At 53.6% G+C, this 23,210-nt stretch overlaps 4 annotated features.

The window, feature by feature from the left end:
* Positions 7,327 to 8,207: an enhancer, noted in NCBI's record as "H3K4me1 hESC enhancer chr11:75863001-75863881 (GRCh37/hg19 assembly coordinates)". NCBI's record gives its function as "activates a minimal SCP1, AML or CMV promoter by ChIP-STARR-seq in primed H9 embryonic stem cells {active_cell/tissue: H9 hESC(primed)}" and the evidence as "EXISTENCE:reporter gene assay evidence [ECO:0000049][PMID:30033119]".
* Positions 7,859 to 7,948: an enhancer, noted in NCBI's record as "active region_5283". NCBI's record gives its function as "activates an Ori minimal core promoter by ATAC-STARR-seq in GM12878 lymphoblastoid cells {active_cell/tissue: GM12878}" and the evidence as "EXISTENCE:reporter gene assay evidence [ECO:0000049][PMID:35858748]".
* Positions 8,849 to 8,908: an enhancer, noted in NCBI's record as "active region_5284". NCBI's record gives its function as "activates an Ori minimal core promoter by ATAC-STARR-seq in GM12878 lymphoblastoid cells {active_cell/tissue: GM12878}" and the evidence as "EXISTENCE:reporter gene assay evidence [ECO:0000049][PMID:35858748]".
* Positions 20,145 to 20,838: an enhancer, noted in NCBI's record as "H3K4me1 hESC enhancer chr11:75875819-75876512 (GRCh37/hg19 assembly coordinates)". NCBI's record gives its function as "activates a minimal SCP1, AML or CMV promoter by ChIP-STARR-seq in naive H9 embryonic stem cells {active_cell/tissue: H9 hESC(naive)}" and the evidence as "EXISTENCE:reporter gene assay evidence [ECO:0000049][PMID:30033119]".

A 23,210-nucleotide genomic window follows, 5' to 3' on the forward strand; every position in this document is an offset into this window, starting at 1 on the left:
AAGATTTCACATTGTGGAACAGCATGGGCACAGGCCCAGAGGCAAGGCCTTGGGTGTGAGCTTGGAAAACAGCAGGGAGTGTGCTGTGCTTGGGGCCTGAATGGGTGTGAAGAAGGGCAAAAGGGGAAACTGAGTTATAGGCCAATTGGAAAAACTTAAGGTGCCAAATAAAGAGATTTGGATGAATCCGGTAGGCAACTGGTAGGTACCCTTTCCAGACTTGAAGCAAAAGAGTAACTTGGTTAGATCTGACTTACGACTTGCAGCTAGTTTCAGGCTGGACTCCAGTGATACTTGCTTGAGTCTATTTAATCATCTTTCCTTTCTGTTTGGGAAAGAAAAATCTGTATCTGAAAAAGAGATGCATCCCTCTGTCCCTAGTATTTTCAGGGAACGATATGGTTTGGATGTTTGTCTCCTCCAAATCTCATGTTGAAATGTGATTCCCCATGTTGGAGGTGGGACCTGGTGGGATGTGATTGGATCATGGAGGCAGACCCTCATGAATGGCTTAGCACCATCCGTTTGATGATAAGTGAGTTCTCAGTTCACCCAGGATCTTGTTGCTTAAGAGAGTCTGGGATCTCCCTCGAGACCATCCTGGCTAACACAGTGAAACCCCATCTATACTAAAATACAAAAAATTAGCCAGGCATGGTGGCAGGTGCCTGTAGTCCCAGCTATTCAGGAGGCTGAGGCAAAAGAATCGCTTGAACTGCGGAGGTGGAAGTTGCAGTGAGCCGAGATCGCGCCACTGCATTCCAGCCAGGGCAACAGAGTGAGACTCCATCTCAAAAAAAAAAAAAAAAAAAAAAAAAGGAAGAGTCTGGGATCTCCCTTTTGTCTCTTGCTATCGCTCTTGCCATGTGACATGCTGGCACCCCATCGACTTCTGCCATGATTGTAAGCTTTCTGAAGCCTGCCCAGAAGCTGAGCAAATGTTGGCACCATGCTTATATAGCCTGCAGAATCGTGAGCCAATTAAACATCTTTCCTGTATAAATCACCCAGCCTCTGGTATTCCTTTATCGCAACACAAAAATGGACTAATACAGGTACATATTGAATAAATCTGGGTTTTTACTGTGTAGTACAGAGTGCAGCCAGCATCTCTTCTTTAGAAGCTAGATTCTGAATGCTCTGTGGCACCTGTTCACTTCTCTGCAACTCTGCTGCTTTGAAGCTATGACCCTGGAAGTCACTGAGCTTTTGAGAACCTCCATTTCATCTGTAAAGAAGTAGAAAGGACTCTGCCCTTCCCAATTACGTTTGCAGGGGACCCACCACATCATAGGTGCTCCATCAATGTTGGTTACCTTGGGTCCCAGAGGAAGCCACTTTGCCAGGATAGAAGGGATGCCTAGGACTCAGCAGGTTTCCTGTTCTAGCACTTGGAGCACAGCCACTTAACCTCTCTGGATTTGGCTCCTAATCTGTGAAGTAGGGATAATACCCCACCCCTGAGGACTGATAGAATGTTAGAAGAGATAAACATCTTCGTGAAAGCACTGAATGATCTTTACAAAGCACCATGCACATCGGGAGGAATTAGTCACTCAACGAGGATTTCTTGCGTTCTATGTTTCAGGCTTTGGTGGGATTGTTGAAATACAGATACTCATTCTATACACATTGAGAATGTGTACTAGGGCTGAAACTAGTCTTTTGAAAACCTGAGCTCTGCAGGTGCAGTGGCTTATGCCTGTAATCCCAGCACTTTGGGAGGCAAAGGCGGGTGGATCACTTGAGGTCAGGAGTTCGAGACCGGCCTGGCCAACATGGTGAAACCCCGTCTCCACTAAAAATACAAAAATCAGCCAGGCGTGGTGGTGCGCACCTGTAATCCCAGCTACTCCAGAGGCTGAAGCAGGAGAATCACTTGAACTTGGGAGGGGGAGGTTGCAGTGAGCCGAGATCACGCTTCTGCACTCCAGCCTGGGCGACAGAGCGAGACTCTGTCTCAAAAAAAAGAAAAAAAGAAGAAAATCCAGGCTCTAAACAAATGGGAAGTATTTCAAAGTGCTTTAGTGGTAGATGGCACCAACGAGGTGTAGAGACATGGCCTCTCAGCCTTAATTTCCAGTTTCTAGCCCCTGGCAGATGAGCTGCCTTAGGCCCACTCTCGCTCGTGAATGTTCTCTAACACGGCTTCTGGCGGCCTCAGTGAATGAGTTGGTGCCCAGAGCTCTTGATTCTGCTTGAAGTAGATAGCTCTCTTTTTCTTTTTTTCCCCCCTTAGCACATCTAATTATAGTTTTGTAGGTAGACAGCTCAGCCTTGTGGATTTTAAATGAATAAAAAAAGACAAGTCTTTAAAACAATTCCACACTTTTTAAAGGCCAGCACTGTCAGCAATCCAGAACAAGAACGAGTATGAGTCTAGATATGAAAGAGACAGCCAGTTGGTGAAATAGCTGTAGCCAAGCCCAGGCACAGAACTACAAGGGGGAGAGTGGCAGGCGCAGGTCATTTTGGCTGTGTGTACAAAACACAGTTCTAGGGCGCCTCAGATGAGAAAGTCTCGGAGGGTGAGGGGGCAGGACTAATGGACCGCCTGAAGCTAAGGAGAGGACAGGAGCACTTGGGAAGGAAGCGGTCTGGGGGGCCTAACTGAGCAGCACCCTGCCTCACAGGAGAGCAAGTCACAGACGTTTCAGCCCCAACGCTGCCGCTCACTGGCTATGTGACCCCGGCGAGGCGCTTGACTTCTCTGAGCCCACGTGCTGGTCTGTAAAGTGAAGTCAGCCCCTTGTTCTGTATTTCCTTTGATCCTGGATGGAGGCTTCTCTTGCCCTAAGAGCAAATTTGTATTCTTTCTTCAAAACCTGTCTCCAATTGCTTTGGGGCCCAGAGCACGACACGACAGGAGAGGCCTCTCACCTGCCACTATGCCTATTTGTGAAGAACTTGGCACAGTTCATGACAGCCTGCTTCTGATCAGGGTGGTTTGTATGTAGCAGAACAGCTTCCACCCTGCCATCGGTTCAAAGTCCATGGCACAAGAGCTTGTAAAATGTGTAGTAAAAATTAATAAAACAGCCAGCTTAAAAAATTCAGCCTCAGTGTGACTTTTACTGTTGCTAAGGATAGACCCCAGTCATCACAAAAAGGATACATTGATTTTAGTTTGATAGGAAAATGCATAAAATAGTTTAAGGAAGTATATTATTCAAAATGGTTAAAATAAGTTGATGCTTTAAGGGACAAACTTGTTCTCTCAAAAGTTTACTTGCAAAAACTTTTTTAGAAAATTTTAGGCCGGGCGCGGTGGCTCATGCCTGTAATCCCAGCACTTTGGGAGGCAGAGGTGGGCGGATCACGAGGTCAGGAGATCAAGACCATCCTGGCTAACACGGTGAAACCCCGTCTCTACTAAAAAAAAAAAAATACAAAAAAATTAGCCGGGCGTGGTGGCAGGCGCCTGCAGTCCCAGCTACTCAGGAGGCTGAGGCAGGAGAATGGCGGAACCCAGGAGGCGGAGGTTGGAGTGAGCCGAGATCGTGCCACTGCACTCCAGCCTGGGCGACAGAGCGAGACTCCATCTCGGAAAAAAAAAAAAATTTTTTTAGTTATGCAGAACACCTTATCCCTCAAAGAAACCAGCCTCACTGTGTATTTCCACAGATTACTCACTCTTTGGGTCAAGGGTCAGGCACACTTGATGTGAGAAGACTCCAGGCTTCTTTGTGTGCAGGTGATATGTGACCTTTTGTTCATGCAGCACACGTCTCCAGAGCCTGCTGACCTCAGCACAGGCCCTTTGCTGCCAAAAACCTGCTGGCCACCTGGACTTCTCAGCCCCAACCTGTGCCTAAGCGTTGCCTTCAGTGGCATACAGTAGGTGCTCCTGAGGTGTGCGTGTCGGTATGGGGCGGGGCAGTGTGAGTGAGGAAGAGCACAGGCTGAGTTTGGTAAGTCACACCTGTGTCTGTCTCTTGGTCCCCTGGGAGCTCTGTGAAGGCCCAGTGTTCCCAGAATGAGCATCGGAAACCTTTAGAAGCAGAGCTGTCCCAGGATCATAGAAGACTGTGGAACTGTGTTATTGTAAACAGTAAGTCACACTGATTCTCAGTAAATATTCTGAGTGCTAATGAGCCACCACCAGCTGGGAAACCAGAACAGGAGCTGAGGCCCTGGTGCCCTGTCCTGCCCTGCGCACATCTATACGGCGACGCCTGCTTTCTCTCCATGGTGATGCAGTGATCCCTCAAACAGGCACAGTGTTTTTCCTGTCTCAACGCTCCCCCCAAATAATTGCATTTGATCCCAAGGCCAGCCTGCAGAGTGTGTGGGCAAGGTGTTCCCATCACTACTTGACCCAGGAACCCACAGGAAACCCCCAAAGAAGGATGACCTGCTGAAGATCACACAGATCCCAAGGCCACACTGGGGCCGGACCAGGCCCTGACCTCTCCCCCAGGGCTCTTTCTTCCGCACCCCAAGCCCTGTGGAGGCCCCACAGCCTCTCCTTCTGTCCCACCCATCTGAACATCCTGCCCTCTGCCGAGAGTCCTCCCGACTCCGCAGCCCCAGTTAAGAGGGAGGAGCAAATCCGGGGGACATCTCTGTGCAGGGAGTGGAAAAACTGAGCACCTCACAGCATTGTGCTATGGGGTGTGGAGCAACTTTAAGGGGGAAAAATGTGTATTTATAACTGCCGGAAATGCGATATAACTGTCAAAAGTCCATGAGGTCGGCCGTGTACATAATGACTCACAGGCATAAAAGGGGCGGGGGTAAGAGGGGCAGGAGGTGCTTCTTTGAGGACTCCCCTTAGCTGTGTCTGACAGGCAGGTCGAGGGGGTGAAACGGGGCCAGGGCTACCAGCCAGGGTAAGAAGCAAGAACAAAGGCGTTGCTGGGAACCTGCATTACTCGTGCGTTTAATGGTTACTGACTGCACACTGCACACCAAGCGCTGGACTAGGCTCCAGGGTGAGAAATGCACAAGGCAGACACAGTGCCTGCCCTCAGGAAGCTGCCAGGCCTGTGGCTGAGACAGGAAAGTACAGAGGGCACAGAGCTGCGCTGGAGCTGGGTGTAAGGCAGGTAGTTGGGGAGGGGAGGACTGAGCCTGTGTCTGAGGGCCGGGGGCAGGGGATATGGCTGGGTGGGGGGAAGGAGGGGGATCTGTGCACAGGGTTAGCAGAAGAGCGGCCAGAACAGAGGCCCAAGGAGCTTCCCCCAAGGCTGAGCGTGGAAGACTGTGGGACTAGACACAGGACAGAAACCATGGAGATGGGGAAGGGTCAACAGGGCCAAAGACCCAGGAGCCATGGGAGGTGAGGGCAGGCACAGCCTGAAGCCCTTGGTGACCTCCATGGGAGCTGTTTCAGGGTTGGGGAGCAGCAAGGAAGCAAGGGGCAGTGGGCGTGCACAGTGGGGAAGTAGAGACAGTGAGTGTAGACAACTCTTGCGAGTTTAGCTATAAAGTGCTGGAGAAAAATATGGGTGGGAGTTGGAGGGGACTGTGAGACCGAAGGAAGATTTCCTGTAAATGCGAGTGGGATGGAGCCAGTAGCAGGGAGAAGGCAAAGGTTCAGGAAGAAGACGGGACAATGAAAGGAGCAAGGCCCCAGAGAAAATTTGGGGTGACAGGGGAGAAGGGGGAGCCCCAGGGCATGGTGAGGACAGCAAGGAAGGGTGGCCGGGCAGGAGTGGGCTGAGCTGTCCATCTGCATGGGTGGGAGGCTGCAGGCGAATTTCCCGCCTGGCCCCTGAAGAGGGACAGCCTGGGATGGGGGCCTGACTGGAGTGACTATTCCAGGGTACAGGCCAGGGCAGAAGGGGCACCATGAAGGTGGCTTGGAGCTTCTTGGGCCTTTTGAAGGAGATTCCTGAGGTTTATGGGAAGGGGTGGTTTGCTGCCCCTGAGTTCAGCATGCCTGGATTATAATCACCTCCTCCCCAGGCGCTCTTCAGCTACTCTTGTGCCCTCTAGCCCACTCTCCACATGGCAAGCACCTGACCTGTCCTAAACACAGCTCTCACCCTATGAGAACTGTTACATAAAAGAAAGCAACATTTACTTACCTTTGCTATATGCATTGTACACACTAGTTAACTGGATAGTTGGTGAAGGGAAGTTTCTCTTATATAAATATTCCAAGTAAAAAGATTCAGAAGGGATCATAGAATTAGGCTGTCAGCTCTTCGCAACTCCTAAATAATGAGCACGTCTAAGACAATGCTCATCAATGGCACAGAAAGGCAGGCAACCAGACACCTGATGCCTCCTGATGGAAAAGCACACACCTTTGAAATAGCCTTGGCATAAGTTTGACCCTGAATATAATGAAGCATCTATCCGTGCTGTCCAAAGACAGCAGACACCAGCCACATGGAGTTCTGAAGTCATTGAACAGTGGCTAATCCACATTGAGATGTGCTATGAACACAATCCACACTGAACTGCAGAGACTTTGTACAAAAAAGAATGTAAATTCTTTTGTATTAATTTTTATATTGATGACGTTAGAATGATAATATTTTGAATATATTGAGTTAAGTAAGATACAATTAATTTCATCCATTTCTTTTTGCTTTTTAAAATGTTACTACCTGAAAATCTAAAATTACATATGTGACTTGCACTTGTGGCTCACATGATTTACTATTGGGTGGTACTGCTCTGGATCTAACTACCAGTTTATGGGAAATTCAAAGGGCAGATGAGCCTTTAACACCAGGAAAATGCAATCAGAAAAATCCAGACGGTTGGAAACCCCGCAGGACGAGCCACCTGGTTTCTCCAATAAATATATTGAAAGAAAAAATACATAGAAGAAGGGAAAACCTATTAACAAGAGACTCAAGAGACATATAAATCAATCCCATTATGAACCGTGCTTGGTTCCTGTAAACTAAACAAACTGAAAAAAAGAAATTAAGGGACAATCAAAATGGAAGCACTGACTAAATATGATATGAAGGACTTGTTATTTGTTTAGGTGTGATAATAGCATTGTGGTTTTGGTTTTTTAAGTCTTTGTTGCTTAGATGCATAGAGAAATATTTACAGATGAGATGCATCTGTCTGGGATTGGGGATAGGGTGTGAATGGGGTGTGGAGGAAACAAGATTGGCTATGGATGATGGATGACAGGTGACTGGAGTCCGCTGTGCCTTGTGGCACACACCCTGCCCTCCAGCCAGGTGGATGCACTTGCCATTCCCAGAACGCCCTGCTCCTGCAGCCCTGGGGCCTTTGCCGCCATGATGTCTCTGCCTAGAATCTTCCCCCCTAACCCACAGCAAACCTCTGTCCACCTGTATGCCAGAGCTCAGCTACCCTCTTCTCCTCTTTGAAGTCCTCTCTGACGTCTTCCCCACTCTCCACCCACCCACTCTCCCTCCTTTGTGTTCCCCCACTACCTGTGTGTGCTTCCAGCACAGCCCTTCCTACATGTCCCTACGTGTATGTTTCCCTATCTGTCACCTTCAGTAGCCCATGAGCTCCCACGGGGCAGGCGCGGGATTTTAAGGCACAGCTTGTGCTCAGGAAAACTGGATAGATTCGTCTTGGTGTGTTGAGTGTCCATTTTACAGAGGAAGCAGTTGGGACCCGGAGAAGTTAGTCTTGGCTAAGTTCACAGAGCTAAAAAGTGACAGAGCTAGGACTTGAAATCAGGACCTTTGAGTCACGTCTCTGCCTGACCTCAGCCCTGCGGGCCCCGTTCCCGCCATTCCTTCCTGCCTCTCACGTTGACTGGGCTCCCCCTGTCGGTCGGCACTGGCTGAACAGCCATGGAGTGGCGCTTTGGGGAAACCACGGGCGACCAGGAAAGATCTCAGGCAAGCCTCGGGTAAGTGAGCTGTAAACTGAGACCTGAACCCAGACACAGCCCATGCCAGGCCGAGCGAAGAGCCTGTGCAGGGGCTTGGAGTAGAGAAGAGCACGGCTCCTGTGAAGGATTCAGAGGCTGGAGCTGGGCGATGGGCCACCGCGCGGAGGAGGCGCGGGCGGTGGTCCGAGTTCCTCAAGGGATCTACAGACGGCGCCCCTCCTACCCAGGGTGTTTCCTGATGATTGTATTTTGTATTTCAGCGTTGATGATTTTTTTTTTCACTACTTCACCCCCTCCCAAACGCCCAAAACTGCCTGGTGATTTTTTTTTTTTTTTTCAAAGTGCATCCTGACCCCTCTGGCTGCCTCCATAGACTCAGCTTTAGTCCCGGCCCATCCTGCTGGCACAAGGAAGCCACCGCATGTGATGGGGTGTAATTTACAGCCACAACCCTAATGTGCAGAAATATCACTTTATTTCCCCGTAACTGTCCTCACCCGAACCTGTTTTGGCCGCTGGCAGCAAAACGCTTATCTGACCACTTCAAGGCAACTCATTCATCTCTAGTTAAAGATTATCCCCTAGGGGGTAAATGCTCAAATTCCCCAAATTTCCTGACCTCACCCCTTCTGGCCCCAGGGACCAGGCTTCAGGCAAGTGTCTCCTGACCTGCCCGTGGTGTGGCTCATCTGGGTGTCAGGGGCCGGCCCCACTGCAGAGGCCCTTCCTTGGTTCTCACCCTGGGACCCTGTGCCCCAGGGCAAGGCCCACTCGGCTCCCTTGGGGCTCAGCCACCTAGCCCACTTTCCCTCACTGCTGAGATCAGGCCACCTGCATGGACTTCTCTACTCTGCTGGTTGGCTGTCCTGCACCCTGAGGAACACGGAGGACTTCTATGAAGGCTTGCCTGGCTCTTCCTGGCAGGCCTTGGGCAGTCAGGTCCCTGTTTCCCATTTAGAACCCAGAAGGGGACAGGGACCGGAGAGGAAGTGCTTCTCTCCAGCTCCACGAATCTTTTGACTTTGGGCTTCCTGCCTTCCAAATAGCCCCCACTGCAGCTGTTCACACCTTCACTTCCTCTTTCAAAGGTGAGAAGACTCCTACATCATCACCAGCGTGTATTTTTCTCTCCTCTATGGCTTTTGTTTGTTTGCTTGTTTTGATGGTTGTACATTCAAAGTCCTCCAGGCTCTGTCTGGTCAGAAGTCACACATCCTCTCCTTGCTCAACAAAGCCTGGCCTTGTGGGGAAAGCTTGGCTTTCCAGACAGGCAGCATTTCAACTCCCTTTATCGTTCTGGGCTGTATCCACTCTGCCCTGGAGGCAGTAAATGGGGGAATTGGTGAAGGAGTCAAAGGAATGACTAACACCCCAGCCTCGGCTGCTGCTCTCACTGCCACAGAGCAGGGACAGAGCAGGCGACTGGACGCACGAAGCATTCCTGCTGAGTGAAGTCCCAGGGATGTTGGGGCCTGCAGCCCAGACAAAGGAGCCCTAGAGATTCGGAGGGAGAGAAATAAGTTGTCATTGACCTGTAGTGTGGGCATGTTAAAGGCTGAGGAACTGGCAGTGTGGCATGTGGCAGGATTGCCAGGGTCACAGGATAGACAGTGATTTAGTTTCAGCAAAATATCATCCACCACGTTAATATTGCTAATATGAATTTAATTGGCTTAGTAGTTTTGTGTGGTTTTAATTTGTAAACTTGTTTTGGTTTAATGGTTGTGGGAGAGCTATAGACCTTAGTTTATATTTAGTTTTTAGTTTGTAAAATGTTCTCGAGAGTGAAAATGGAAGAATGGAACAGTCTATAATAATTCTTCCTTGCAATTCATCATCCGTCCTCCACACCACCCGGAAAAAACAGGACCCAGGAGGACATGGAAACAGTCTTTATTTCAGGGTTGTGCCATAGCTGCCCACCCTATGAGAGGAGGTGGGAAGCCCTGGGAGGGCTGGCTTCACCCGTCCCCAACCTGGGTCTTCCTTCTAGATCCTTGGGTGCCCTTTGTGGCTAGGCCCTCTCCTCTAGACTCTCTGGCCCCTGAACTATTTCCCCTGATGCCTTTAACCCCTGGGTTTCCCTCCCTCTTTGAGTTCAACCTTTTCTTTTCTTTTCTTCAGCCCCTGGAGGGTCCAGGCTGTGGAAGGGGCTGTGGCTCCTGTTGGCAGCGCATCCACCAGACAGACTCTGACCATTTGCAGCGCCAAGTGGGGTCCCTCCTGGCCTCACTGTGCCCAAAGTGTTTCTGTCTCTCACTCCACCACGGCTGCATTCCCAAATGCCCCCTCTGACTTCTGGGTTCAGTGTGTGCCAGGCTTCAGGAAAGAGGGGGAGAAGGAAAAGATCCCACCTTGGCACAGACTTCTTTAGGCGATATTACAAAGAAAAATCAGGTTTCAACCTTAGGGGGTCTCTACAGGAATTTTTAACCTTGAAATAATCCCTACATTATTTATTGTATGGTGTTGTAGGCCTCACTAGGGAATTTTTACTTGATCTTCAGTGCAATGGGAAACTTTGGAAGGGCTGTCAGCATGGAGAGTGACATGCTCTAGCATAGGTTTTCTTTTCTTTTTTTTTTTTTGAGACGGAGTGTTGCTTCGTCGCCCAGGCTGGAGTGCAGTGGCACCATCTCAGCTCACTGCAACCTCCGCCTCCCAGGTTCAAGTGATTCTCCTGCCTCAGCCTCCCCAGTAGCTGGGATTACAGGGCACGTGCCACCACACCCAGCTAATTTTTGTATTTTTAGTAGAGACGGGGTTTCACCATGTTGGCCAGACTGGTCTCAAACTCCTGACTTCAAGTGATCCACTTGCCTCAACCTCCAAAAGTGTTGGAATTGCAGGTGTGAGCCACCGCCTGTGGCCAGCCTAGGTTTTCAAAAGAGTGCAGTGGGAGAAACTTCCTGTAATGGCAGTGGTATGACGTGGCTGCATGAATTGTCCTGCAGATAGCAATTATGGAATCTAGACAAAGTATTAAAAAAAAAAAAAAGTATGTAAAGCCCCTGGAAAGTGTCTTAGAAAGACAAAAGCCGGAAAAAAAGTTTACTCTTGAAAAATGGCAAAGAGAAGAGGTAAGAATCATGGCAGCACTCTCACACCCCCGAGGCTGGAGCAGGTGGTAGAGAGTAGAGTTCAGAACTGTAAGGGCAGCTGGAGCATCAAAGGGGACATCCTGGCAGTGAGATAACTGCAGGAGGCCTCAGGCCCGAAACCCGAGCACAGATTCTGTCCAAATATTCCAATGCTAGAGGGCCTGGTGAAAAAAAACAGGCAGGAACTGGAGATAAGTTACCCTCGAAAGACAGAGCAGCTCTGGACTGGGTAAAATATGTGAGTGTCCTGCTTTTTGAACAGTGAGTGAATTTCCCAACCTGTATACAGCGCAGCCAGCAGAAAGTGAAAAGTCTTACTGCCTTGAGGTATCAGAGAACAGAGTCCAAGCCTGGTAGAGCAGCTGAAAATTTAGGGGAAAATCCACAGAAGCAAGGGAACCATCGAAAAGTGAGCACCAAAATCTGAATGTAAACTTCCCAATCCTTGGATGACTGCCCAGTGATAGCTGCAGGGGACCCCTGGGAGCCACACTGAGAAAAGCCATGAGTGGGAGCTGTGGGAGCGGAGCAGAGGTTTCTGCTGCTCGGCACTGTGGAGGAGACAGAATGTGCGGCTGAAACAGGCAAACGACCCCCCAGCAGAATAAATACAGCAATCATCAGAGGAGCACGAAAAAAACCCAGTTTCCAAGCTGCACCAAAACAGGAAAATGTGACTTACACTCAGGAAAACAAAAAAGGCAAACAACAGCAACTGACTCAGTGGCATGCATGTTGGCATGTTGGATTTAGCAAAGACTTCGGAAACAGTGGCTTTTTTTTTTTTTTTTTTGAGTTGGAGTCTTACTCTGTCACCCAGGTTGGAGTGTGGTGGTGCGATCTCAGCTCACTGCAACCTCCGCCTCCCAGATTCAAGTGATTCTCTCACCTCAGCCTCCCGAGTAGCTAAGACGACAGGTGCCCACCACCACACCCAGCTAATTTTTATATTTTTAGTAGAGACGGGGTTTCACCATGTTGGCCAGATTGGTCTCGAACTCCTGATCTCAAGTGATCCACCCACCTTGGCCTCTCAGAGTGCTGGGATTACAGGCATGAGCCACTGCACCTGGCCAAAAAAGTGGTCTTAATGAGTGAAAAGAAAGGGATTCTCAACAGAGAAATATAAATGCACACACACATACTTGATGTATAATTGAAATGGAAAATTCACTGGCTAGGCTAGACAATAGATTGGAGATGGCAGAAAAAAGACTACCTGACCCTGAAGACAGATTAACAGAAATTATCTGGTCTGAAAATAGATAGGGAGAATAGATTAGAGAAAAATGGCTGACTGCACTGCCCCATGTGGGAGCTCCTGAACTTTGGAAGTGAGATGGGAGCAGGGAAAACCTCAAAGGGCAATGATGTTTGGCCTGGGCTGTGAAGGACGAGTGGGAGCAGGGGTTTTCTAGATGCTGAAAGGGAGGCTGAGTTTGTCCTGCTTGATCCAAGGGTAGACCCCAGACCTGTGGGCAGAGGCCACCCAGAGGCAGATGCTCCCTCCACGCAAGGCTTCTTACGGCTCTGGCTGGACAGGGTGCAAGGGACTCCCCGGAGAGGGGGTGAGCACCTCATCCGTGGGGTGTGGAGAGGGAAGCCAGCAGAGGCTGAGCACCTTGGAGCAGGAAGGCTGCAGAGGGTCCAACCAGGCAAACTCCCCTCCCTGCGAGACAGGTCCTGGACGTGCAGGCTGGCCAGATTCCTTTCCTAAACAGGCTGCGCGTCTGGCGATTTGATCAGCCACGTGCAGCCCAGCTGCAGAGGCCTGGCAGGGGCTGGGGCCCAGCATCTGCTCCTTCAGAGCCCCTGTTCTTCTGGCCCCCGCCCAGCCACTGAGGTGCTACCTGCCAAAATGCGTCCCCAATGTGGGAGGCCTGGGAAGGGGAGGTTTTCAGACTCTGAAATGGGGGGGCTTGGGGGAAATATGCCGATGCGGGTTCCAAGAGTACAGGTGAGGCCTGGGGGTGCCTGGGTCTGGGGGAATCCCTGGTTATGGTCACACAATTTACAGCCAGAGAAAGAGTGTTGCAGAGGTTGAGCAAGGCTGGGAGGCCTCTTGGTAGACCAGGGCAGGTCGAGTTTTGAGAGGCTGAGGCTTGTACGATGTGGAAGCCCTTGTTGAGGAAAAAAAAAAGTTGCCTGCTATTTCATCTGGAGCAGCCGGACTGCAGTAGGATGGGATAAGCTGGTATTCTAACTTGTGGTTCCATCACCTGGGATGCGTAAAACATATAGCTTAATGCACAGATGTATCTGTTGTTTGTAATACTGCTACACGTTTGCCAAAAACACGGGAATTCTGAGAAGTTGAATTCTGTATGATTGTCATAAGGAAAGAGAATAAAACGAACGGTGCCTTTAGAGTTAAACCTGCAGCTTCACTGAGTGCCCCTGACAGGAGGAAACTTCCACGTGGAGTACACATCGAAGAGAACCAAATCTTCCACTTGCAACTTTGCACAGTCTGGTGATCGGAAGTGTTTTCCACGTATCAGCATCTGGCTCTGTCCATTTCATTCCTGGCTTCTTCACCACTGTCCACATGCCGCCAGTGCCAAGGTCTGCTGGACACGTTGATGTCCCTCATGACCTCGGGCTCTGCCTCACAGTGTCATGGTGCTGGTGGGTGGTGGGAGTGTTCCTGGAAGCCACTGCACACCATGATGGCCAGCAAGAACAGAACAGACATGCAAGTGACTGCAGCCCCATACATACATCCCCAAACCCAAGCTACAGGATCCTCCACTTCCCTCAGCCAGATCCCCCAAATACAGCTGTTCCAGGGAAGAAGGGCAGTGGAAGTCAGAGAGGAGCGAGACTGAGGTCTTAACCAATTGCAATTAAAACATTCTATTTTTGCAGATTTTACAAAAACATAATTGTGTGGACATGCCGCTGGGCCCTGCCCTCTCGCCCCCACCCCCAGGCTCAAGGGGATGCAGATGAGTGCGGGGTCTGGAGCTCAAGGTCGCCAGCTTCTCAGGGTCTTCTCCAGCCTGGCTCCACCCTGTCTCCTCCTGCTCAACACCCTCCCAGACTCCCCGCCATCCTCAGGATAAAGCTGCGCGTGGTCCCAGTGCGTGCATGCGCCCCACTTGTGCCTGAGGAGCTGGAGAAGATGGGCTTTTTCAGGGAGAACAAAGCTGGGGGGTCAATGGGCAAACTCCGACGACAGCAGGATGACAGACCTTAGGGGGCACTCACCCCTGGATGCCTGAGGAAGAGGCTCCGTTGCTCTCCAAGGAAGCCTCTGGCACTAACCCGAGAGATGGGGGCCCATGGGTTGGGGCAATGCCCACATTCCCGACAGCAGCATCTTCCCTGCTGAGGCCAACTCAAGGAGGGAGTGCTAAGGGCAGGGCCCCATTCTCCGGTGAAGTTGCTCTCTGGACCATGGGGGTGTGGGATCGGAGTGGGGATCGGCGATGAAATGGTGGGGCAGTGGAAAGGACCCCCGACCTGAAATCCACAGACCTGAGTTCAAGGTCCTATTCTGTCTTTTGTTGGCTGTGTGACCTTGGGCAGGTGACTTAACTGCTCTGAATCTCAGTGTCCTCATCGGTAGATCAGGAAATACTTGTTTCCTCGCAGGGCTTTTGTGAGGAGTCAACGAAACAAGGGTCATGAAGGTACCAGTAGATAGTAGGGTAGCTCCCTGGCCGGCAGAGGACACAGAACTTGTTTGCTGGTCTTGATCCTGAATGACTCCTGGACCTCCTCAGTAGGTAAAGCAATCATGTTGACTATTTATTCGCCTCACAAACTCTTATGAGGGGTAAATGTCACTCAGCCCCTTCTAAAGTATCACAAAATCCCCACTTTCCAGCACCGTCTGCCTACACGCCTCTGCAGTGGGGACCATTCAGTGTGTGGGGAGCACTGGGCAGGGGCCAAGGAGCCAGCAGGGACTCTGCTCCAGGCCAGGCCTCCATCTCCCCGGCTGAGCGGTCAGGGGCGAGCGGGCCTGAGCCCAGAGCAGCCCCAGAAGCTGAGCCAGCTGGCGAGACCCTGCCCTTACCCTCTGAGTGGCCACGCAACTGTGGTTGGTTTCTTTCCTTGCTGAGCCTCTGTTTTCTAAGAGGTTAGAGGGGCTGCTGAGAAGTTCACAGGAAAGGGCCTTGTCTGCCCTCAGAGAAGGGGCCCTGGGTGAGTCTGCCTTGAGAAGGTGCCAGTCAGCGTGCCCCCCACAGAGGTCCCGCTCCCTTCAGAATGAGGTGGCCCCATGACCCGGCCCTCCCAGTGTGGCGTCACTAGCCCCAGGACCCCCCAAGGTGCTCCACCTCTAGGCCTTAGCACAGGAAGGCCCTCCCCCATCTCCACGTGGCCCTGGAAATCACTACCAAGTTCTCCCCTATGTTTCATATGCGTTTTGAACAGCATTTTACAATCTGCAAAGTACATTCCCTCTCCTTTCCTCAGAGCCCTGCAGCACCACACATCCTCTGAGGGGTGAATCACCATCCCGTTTTTCAAATGAAGAAACCGAGGCTGAGAGAAGGGTGGTGGGTGAGCCAAAGATACCCGGGGGGTAGGGGGCATAATCTGAAGCCGGGGCCTTCTCCACACTTCATGGGGCCTGGCAGGGGACCTGGGATGGTTCAGGGAACCCAGAGTTTGAGTGGGTGATTTGGAGTGCAGATGAGGTGGGAGTGAGCGAACAGAGCCACACGTCGAAGGGGCATTTTCAGACTCCAGAACAAGAGGTATGTTGAGCGGGCATCCGGTCTGGAGCAGCTGAGGCTACAGGTGTTGGAGGTTGCTCCCAGTGTGTGGCAAAGGCCTCCCGTTGCTGTCTGGCACAGAGTCAGGGCCTCAGCACTGCAGGGGGTGGCTGGCAGCAGGTGGGAATGCTGCAGAGGCCAGCAGGGGCTGGGGGATGAGGGGCTCAAATGCCAGGCACAGGACAGAAACAGGGAAGGATTTTAAGCTGGAGAGAGACCTGGGGCCCGGCCTCCATGGCAACGCTCTTGAGGGCACTGACTGGGCAGAGACCCTTAGCTCCTGCAACAGGCACACAGCAGGCTGGGCCCGGCCTGGACAGGGCCAGGCTGGGAGCTGGACACCTGTGCTCCTGCCCTGGCTGGCTTTCTTTAGTGCCCAGTGTTGCCCCTCCCTGGACCTGGATGCCTCATCTACCGAGTAGATGGGCAGGTTGACATTTCCTGCCCTGTTTGCAGTTCGGGGGCTCCTGGGAGCTCAGAGACAGAGGGCATGGAAGCCTTCAGGGAGACTGCCTGGTGCTGAGCCCAGCTGGACCTTCCTGTCTTAGTCTCCGCATGCGCTGTAGGGGCATCAAGCCCTCCTTGTCCTCCCTCCCAGGGTCAAGGGAGCGAGTGTAGATGCCCTTTGTAAACGGAACTGCAAGGCTCCTGAGTACCATTGCTGAGCGGGGAAACAGATGCTTTTCTTTGGACCTGGTCCCCAGGTGTCCTCGGGTTGCAGGGTTTGTGGGTCCTCTACTCGTTCTTGTTTGTCATTCATCCATCCCTCCATCCCTCCAACAGCAGCCAAGCCCGCCCCTGGAGCTGCATGACCCAGTACGGGCACTGTGAGGCTTAGAGACCCTTAGAGGTGACGGGGGCACCACCCCTCCATGTCCACATATGAGAACTGAGGTCCAGAAAGGGGCAGGAGGGAGCCCTAGGATGATCTGAGACAGCCCCAGAGCCTCAAACTGCTCAGGGTGACCTCTGCCCCTGCCCTGGGTCTGCCGGGGTCTCTCAGGCTTGGGGTGAGTCCAGTGGGATGGGGTCCAGGCCACCTTACAGGCTGGGAGTAACCCAGCTCCTGCCGTATAGCTCCCATTCAGGGCCCAGGGTGGGGCGCCCAAGCAGGGACAGCGTGGGGAGGGGGTGGGGTGTGGAGGAGGTGGGGGGTTGTCCGGGGGTGGCGAGGCTCCGCCCCATGGCGCTGCAGCGCACATGATATTATCTCTGGCCTGGGCTCAGCCTCCAGCAGGATGCGGCTTTCAACACCTTCCTCCCCTCGGACAGGCCGGGGCTTTTTGAGTTTCTCACACATGGATGGAGGGGCTGGGCCTGGGCAGAGGAGGCCCCCAGCTGAGGCGCCCCCACCCTGAGCCCCCGTCATCAGTCACAGCCCCTCGAGTGAGAGAGGGAAGGGCCGTGGTGCGTGAGAGGCAGAGGGTTGCATGCATGGTTCCCCTGAGCGTCTCCCCCACCCCCTCCCCTCTGCTCTGTTGTCCATAATCCTGGGCGCCTGTTCAAGGAATTCTCCACCCGTGTGTTAGTGATTTATTTAGACTCGGCTCATCCCGCCAGCCTGCCCGGCGGGTGACAGGCCCCCACTCCCCACCCCCACCACAGACCCTGGGACCATTTTCATCTCCAGCACGGCAGGCCTGGCTCTGCTCCAGGCCACTCCAGATGGTAGGGGCTCTGCTTGAGTCTGCAGGCTTTCATGGGACCCTGGAATCTCACTTTTGGGGGCCCAGGTAACCGCTTCATGTTCGTGAACCCTCCTCCTCAGTCGTGTTGAGAGCGGCCTATCTGTGTTGGTGATTGTTATTGCTGGGATTTGTTATTAACCCCTCTGGCCCCCCTGTCCAGCTGGGAAGGTGACAGGTGACTTTTAAGAGCAAGAGAATCTTCGACTCCATCTCCCCATTGAACAAATGGGTGGCTACAGGCCAAGACACAGCAAGGCCCTGGGAGGTGGTGGGGAGACCCCAGCCCCATGTCTGGCCTTAAGATTCTTGATTCTCTGTCCCCCACACATGATCTCATCTAAGCCTCAGTCAAACCCTCCCACCAACAAAGGGTACATAGCTCCATCTGACACATGAAGACATGAGGCTGAGAATGGGAGAGGGACCCCTGGTACCCAAACCATCAGGCTAGGAGCAGAGCACAAGCTTGAATCTGCCTCCATCTCCCTGGGCCTCTCCCTGTCTCCCTAGGTGTAGCCTCCGGCTCTCAGGGCTGGGTTCACTGCTCTGTGTGACCAGGACTCTGTCCCAGCTGCAGGGCTCTCCTGCCCAGTGGCAGCTGGGCGTGCCTGTGGACACGCATGCTGCACTGTGGGGGCAGGGAGCATACTCCTGTTCCAAGCCTTCAGGCAGCCCCACCTGCCCTCCTTCTCCAGGGAGCACCAGGCTCATGAGCACTGCGGGTTGGTGCCCACCCCTGCCTCTTTCCCCTCAGCCCCTCCACCAGGCCTGGTGAGTGTGAGGAAGGGGCTGGATCGCCTGGGGTGGGTGGCAACCCCTTGTGCCATGGCCTGAGATGCTTACCCGCTGCCCTGGCCTGTGGTTCCAAAGGGGAGCGGTGAGAAGCCTCCATGTTTCCAGCTCTTCTCTGAAGTACCCATCCCAGATGACCTCCTGCTGGGTCCCCTCTGTCTGCTGGGAAGCGCTTTCTGCCCTACAGAGGCTGCTGCAGCCTGGGAGTCTCTGCCTCCATGTGGGCCTGTAGAGGCTGCAGAGCAGGCCAATCTGGGGACCTTTGGGGTCAGGTGCATCTGGGTTGAGTCTTGCCTGTGACAGATTATAACGGATTAGGCTCTGGCTGTCACAGGGCCTGACTCAAACCCAAGCACTACACTTTAGAAGTTCTGTGGCTGTAGACAAATCCCTTCGCCTCTCTCGGCCTTGGTTTCCTCCTGGGTGGAGTGAGGTGATAACGGGTTAAGCTTATGGGGGTGTACTGCAGAGGGCGTGGCCTGGCTGATGGACTGTTGAGAATGGCCCGTCTGTGTTGGCGATTGTTATTGCTGGGATTCCTTATTAGCCCCTCTGGGCCATGGGCTCCTCTTCATGGGGTGAGATTCCTGATTTAGGCTTCACGAGGCCCTTTGTCCTGGAAGTGGAAGGGAGCCTGGCTATGCCTCTCCTTCCCACAGTCCCTCGGGGCTATTCCATGAAGGCTAATCTGTCAAACTACAGGGATAACCAGTCACAAACTGGAAGCCCAGGCAGAGGCACGTGCCTGTTAGATCAGGGGGAGGCCCCTTGGAGGCTGAGCTGTCCACTGGCAACTTCAGCCACCAGCCTTCCACCCTCTCCCTGCATGATGACTTGGGGCAGGCGGTGCAGGCGTCCCGGAGGAGTACTGGGCTCCCCCAGAGCGGAGGGCACTCTGGACGGAGGTGCTGGGGCCCAGCCAGCTCACTAGCGGGGCCAGCACCCACATGCATTGAGCCTCTGTCTCCAGCCTCTGCGTGCCAGTGCCTCCCTCACCAAGGCCCCTGGCGGGGGTGCTCCCTGCTCCCCACCTTCTCTAGGGCAGACATGCCCTGGGTGGTGTAGGTTTGGGGAAGGCTGGGGTCTTGTCTGACCCTCCCTGTCTGGGCCAGGTGCTAGGATCCAGAGGAGGATCCCACCCAAACTGTGCCAGGAGGTGCCCTCCATCTGGGGTCAGGGAGAGCAGGGATAGTCCAAGGTGGGCCTGTACCTGGTGAGTTTGAGTCCTCTCAGGTCCCCAGAGCCCAATGAAGCGCTTGTTAAGGGAACGAGTGAGCAACTGAGGCAGTACCCACTGACCCACCGTGTTTTTAAGGCCCCTGCAATTGCAAACTCACCTCCTGGAGCTTCATCCACCTGAGTGGGGAGGCAGGGGGAGTCCCCTCTCTCCTCCTCCAAGCCAGCTTTGCTGTTGGGAGTTAGGGGTTGGGAGAAAGCAGGAGATGCACGATGGGAGTGGGGAAGGGCGTGGGTGCTGTTTCCAACACCAGACTGACCGCTCACAGAGGGCCCGAGGGAGCGAAGGCAGGAGGAGCCAGAGTGGTCCAGGTGGTGAGATAAACCTGTTTGCAAGGACAAGTCCCTTTCCCAGGGTCACAAGGGAAAGAGAGTCCCCCTGCCCCCAGGGACACCTCTGTGCAACCTGAGCCTGTAGCCCCAAGGGAGGAAACGACACGCACAAGGGGACACACACGCAGGGGGGACACATGCACACGGGGACACACGCACGGGGGACACATGCACACGGGGACACACGCACGGGGGACACATGCACACGGGGACACACGCACGGGGGACACATGCACAGAGGGGACACACGCACGGGGGGACACATGTGTAGCCCCAAAGGGAGGAAACGACACACGCACAGAGAGGACATACGCACAGGGGGGACGCACGCACAGGGGGGACACACGCGTAGTCCCAAAGGGAGGAAGCGACACACGCACAGAGGGGACACACGCACAGGGGGGACACAAGCACAGGGGGGACACACGCGTAGTCCCAAAGGGAGGAAGCGACACACGCACAGAGGGGACATACGCACAGGGGGGACACACGCACAGGGGGGACACAAGCACAGGGGGGACACACGCGTAGTCCCAAAGGGAGGAAGCGACACACGCACAGAGGGGACATACGCACAGGGGGCACACACGCACAGGGGGGACACAAGCACAGGGGGGACACACGCGTAGTCCCAAAGGGAGGAAGCGACACACGCACAGAGGGGACACACGCACAGGGGGGACACAGGCACGGGGGAATGCACGCAGAGGGGGGATGCACGCACAAGGGCAACGCACGCACGGGAGGACACAGGCACAGGGGGGACACACACAGCAGGGACTCATGCACAAGGGGAACGCACGCACAGGGAGGACACAGGCACGGAGGGGACACAGGCACGGGGGGACGCATGCACGGGAGGACACACGCACGGAAGGGACATGCGCACAGGGGTGACAAATGCACAGGGTTGACTCACGCACGGGGGGCCGCACGCATGGGGAGACATAGGCACGGGGGGGACACAGGCACGGGGGGGACATAGGCACGGGGGGGACGTAGGCACAGCGGGGACATACACACAGGGGAGATGCAGGCACAGGGAGGACGCATGCAAGGTGGGACACATGCACAAGGGGGACGCACGCACAAGGAGGACATGTGCACGGGGGGGATGCATGCACGGGGGGACGTACGCATGGGGAGAGACATGCTTGGGAGGACGCACGCACAGGGAGGACACACGCACGGGGGGATGCACGCACAGTGGGGACACACGCACACGGAGGACACATGCATAGGGTCGTGGGAAGTGGAGCTGCTGCCAAAGACAGGCCCGGGGAGTGGAGATGGGTTCTCCCTCCACGCTTGCCCGCCCTCTCTCTTCATCCTTCTGCTGCTCTTGTTCATCCATGTATTCAGAGAATGTTGTCAGGGTCCCCGAGGGCTGTCTGGGACCTCTTCATCCTTGGTTTGAGCCCACTAGAGCTCAGAAGCAAAACCAGTATCTCAGAACCCGAACTCCAAACTCAAGTGTGCAGCCCAGAATGAGGACTGGCGGGCAGGGGAGGCTGGCAGCCACTACCCTCACAAGGCTTCCACAACTCTAAAAATCCATGCTCCCTTTCGGTGGCCATACAAATTTCATGCCTCATTTTATTTTATTATTTTATTTTATTTTGAGATGGAGTAGGGCTGGAGTGCAGTGGCACCGTCTTGGCTCACTGCAACCTCTGCCTCTTGAATTCAAGCGATTCTTGTGCCTCAGCCTCCTGAGTAGCTGGGAACACAGGCAGGTGCCACCATGCCCGGGTAATTTTTATATTTTTAGTAGAGATAGGGTTTCTCCATGTTGCCCAGGCTGGTCTCTAAGTCCTGAGCTCAGGCAATCCACCTGCCTCAGCCTCTGAAAGTGCTGGGATTGCAGGCGTGGGCACCACTCCTGGCCTCATGCCATCTTTTAATATTCTCTTAATATTTGAAAATCAAAGCGAATTCAATCCTGTGACAAAATGTGAATGAGAGCAAGGGGACTTGGCTGTGCCCCCGTGTTGGGGGGAACATCCTGGCCTCCCCACCTATAGAGAATCACTGCAGGCAGATTGGCAGCAGGATAGAGCCCCCAGACCTGCAGCACACAAGGGCTGCTAGTGTCCCTTACACTCACGCAGGAGGGTACCTGCAGGAGGCCAGCCCTGTCTTCCGACAGCTCAGCCAGTTAGGCTCCTCGCGCTGGTCAGTGCCCTTTCAAATGCAAGCTCTCCTCTGGGGGATGGAACCCAGTCCCTCAGTCCTTAGCGTGAGAGGGCAGCTGATGCATGCCTATTGCCAACCACATCTTGACATTTTCTGTGGCTTTTAGGGGTTTTGTTTTGAAGCAAAAAGGGTGACTCAGAGGCCCAGAGAACTCCAAGGTTGTAACCCTAGAGACCAGGGCGAGCATCCTACCAAGATCAGGTGGATCATCTCAGTTCCCCAACAGGCAGGGAGGGAGAATCACCTGGAACCCTTGTGTTTTTTAAATTTATGTTTTATAGAGATAGGATCTGGGTCTCACTCTATTGCCCAGGCTGGCCTGGAACTCCAGGGCTCAAACAATCCTCCTATCTCGTGGGATTACAGGTGTGAGCCACCTTACCTGACCTGGAACCCTTGCTAAAATGCAGACTCCCAGACCCAGCCCACCCTATTGAGTCGAAATCTCTCTATTTTTTGTTTTAGGCAGGTCCTGACAAAGTTGTGTGTATGTGCATGCCGTGCAGGGGTCTTTCAGCCCAGCCCTCACCTCTGCTAGGCACAGCCCCTTGGCTTTGCGGGCACCTCCCATAGGGTCAGCATACACAGAGTCACGGGCAACCCATGGAACTGAAGGAAGATGTCACCGCGCTGCTAACACAGCCTCACTAGTCAAAACCTGGTTCTGCGCTTCCTCCTTTCTTTCTTTTTCTTTCTTTTTTTTGAGACGGAGTTTTGCTTTTGTTGCCCAGGCTGTAGTGGAATGGTGCAATCTCGCTCACTGCAACCTCCACCTCCCACGTTCAAGAGATACTCCTGCCTCAGCCTCCCGAGTAGCTGGGATTACAGGCAAGTGCTGCCACGCCCGGCTAATTTTGTATTTTTAGTAGAGACAGGGTTTCTCCATGTTGGTCAGGCTGGTCTCAAACTCCCGAACTCAGGTGATCTGCCCGCCTCGGCCTCCCAAAGTGCTGCCTCTTCTCTTTTATGAACAGGAAGAACAATTAAGGAAGAGGTGCTGACACTCCAGGACCCCTGAGAGGCGTCGAGGAGCCTGAGGAGGGCGGCTGCCTCCATTACAGTTCTTCGAAGGTTTGTTGACTGCATGAATGAAGGAGATAACAGGGCCAGACTCCCAGGCATGTGGGCCCTGTGGGGTCCAGCTGGCAGCCCTCACCACTGTGACCACGGGACAGGTGGGCGGCCCACTGAGCCAACGCCCATCTGCCACGGGCTGATGCGGTGAGAGCACAGCTGGAGGCCTGGCCGGGGGTCTCCTTCCTTCCGGCCCCCCGGTCAAGTTCACTGTGAAGAGAGGAGGTGAGACGTCCAGCCCGCCCTGGGATCCCCGTGGGAGCCCAGTTATTTACTG

Source organism: Homo sapiens, chromosome 11 (genome assembly GCF_000001405.40).
Source record: "Homo sapiens chromosome 11, GRCh38.p14 Primary Assembly".
NCBI lineage: Eukaryota > Metazoa > Chordata > Mammalia > Primates > Hominidae > Homo > Homo sapiens.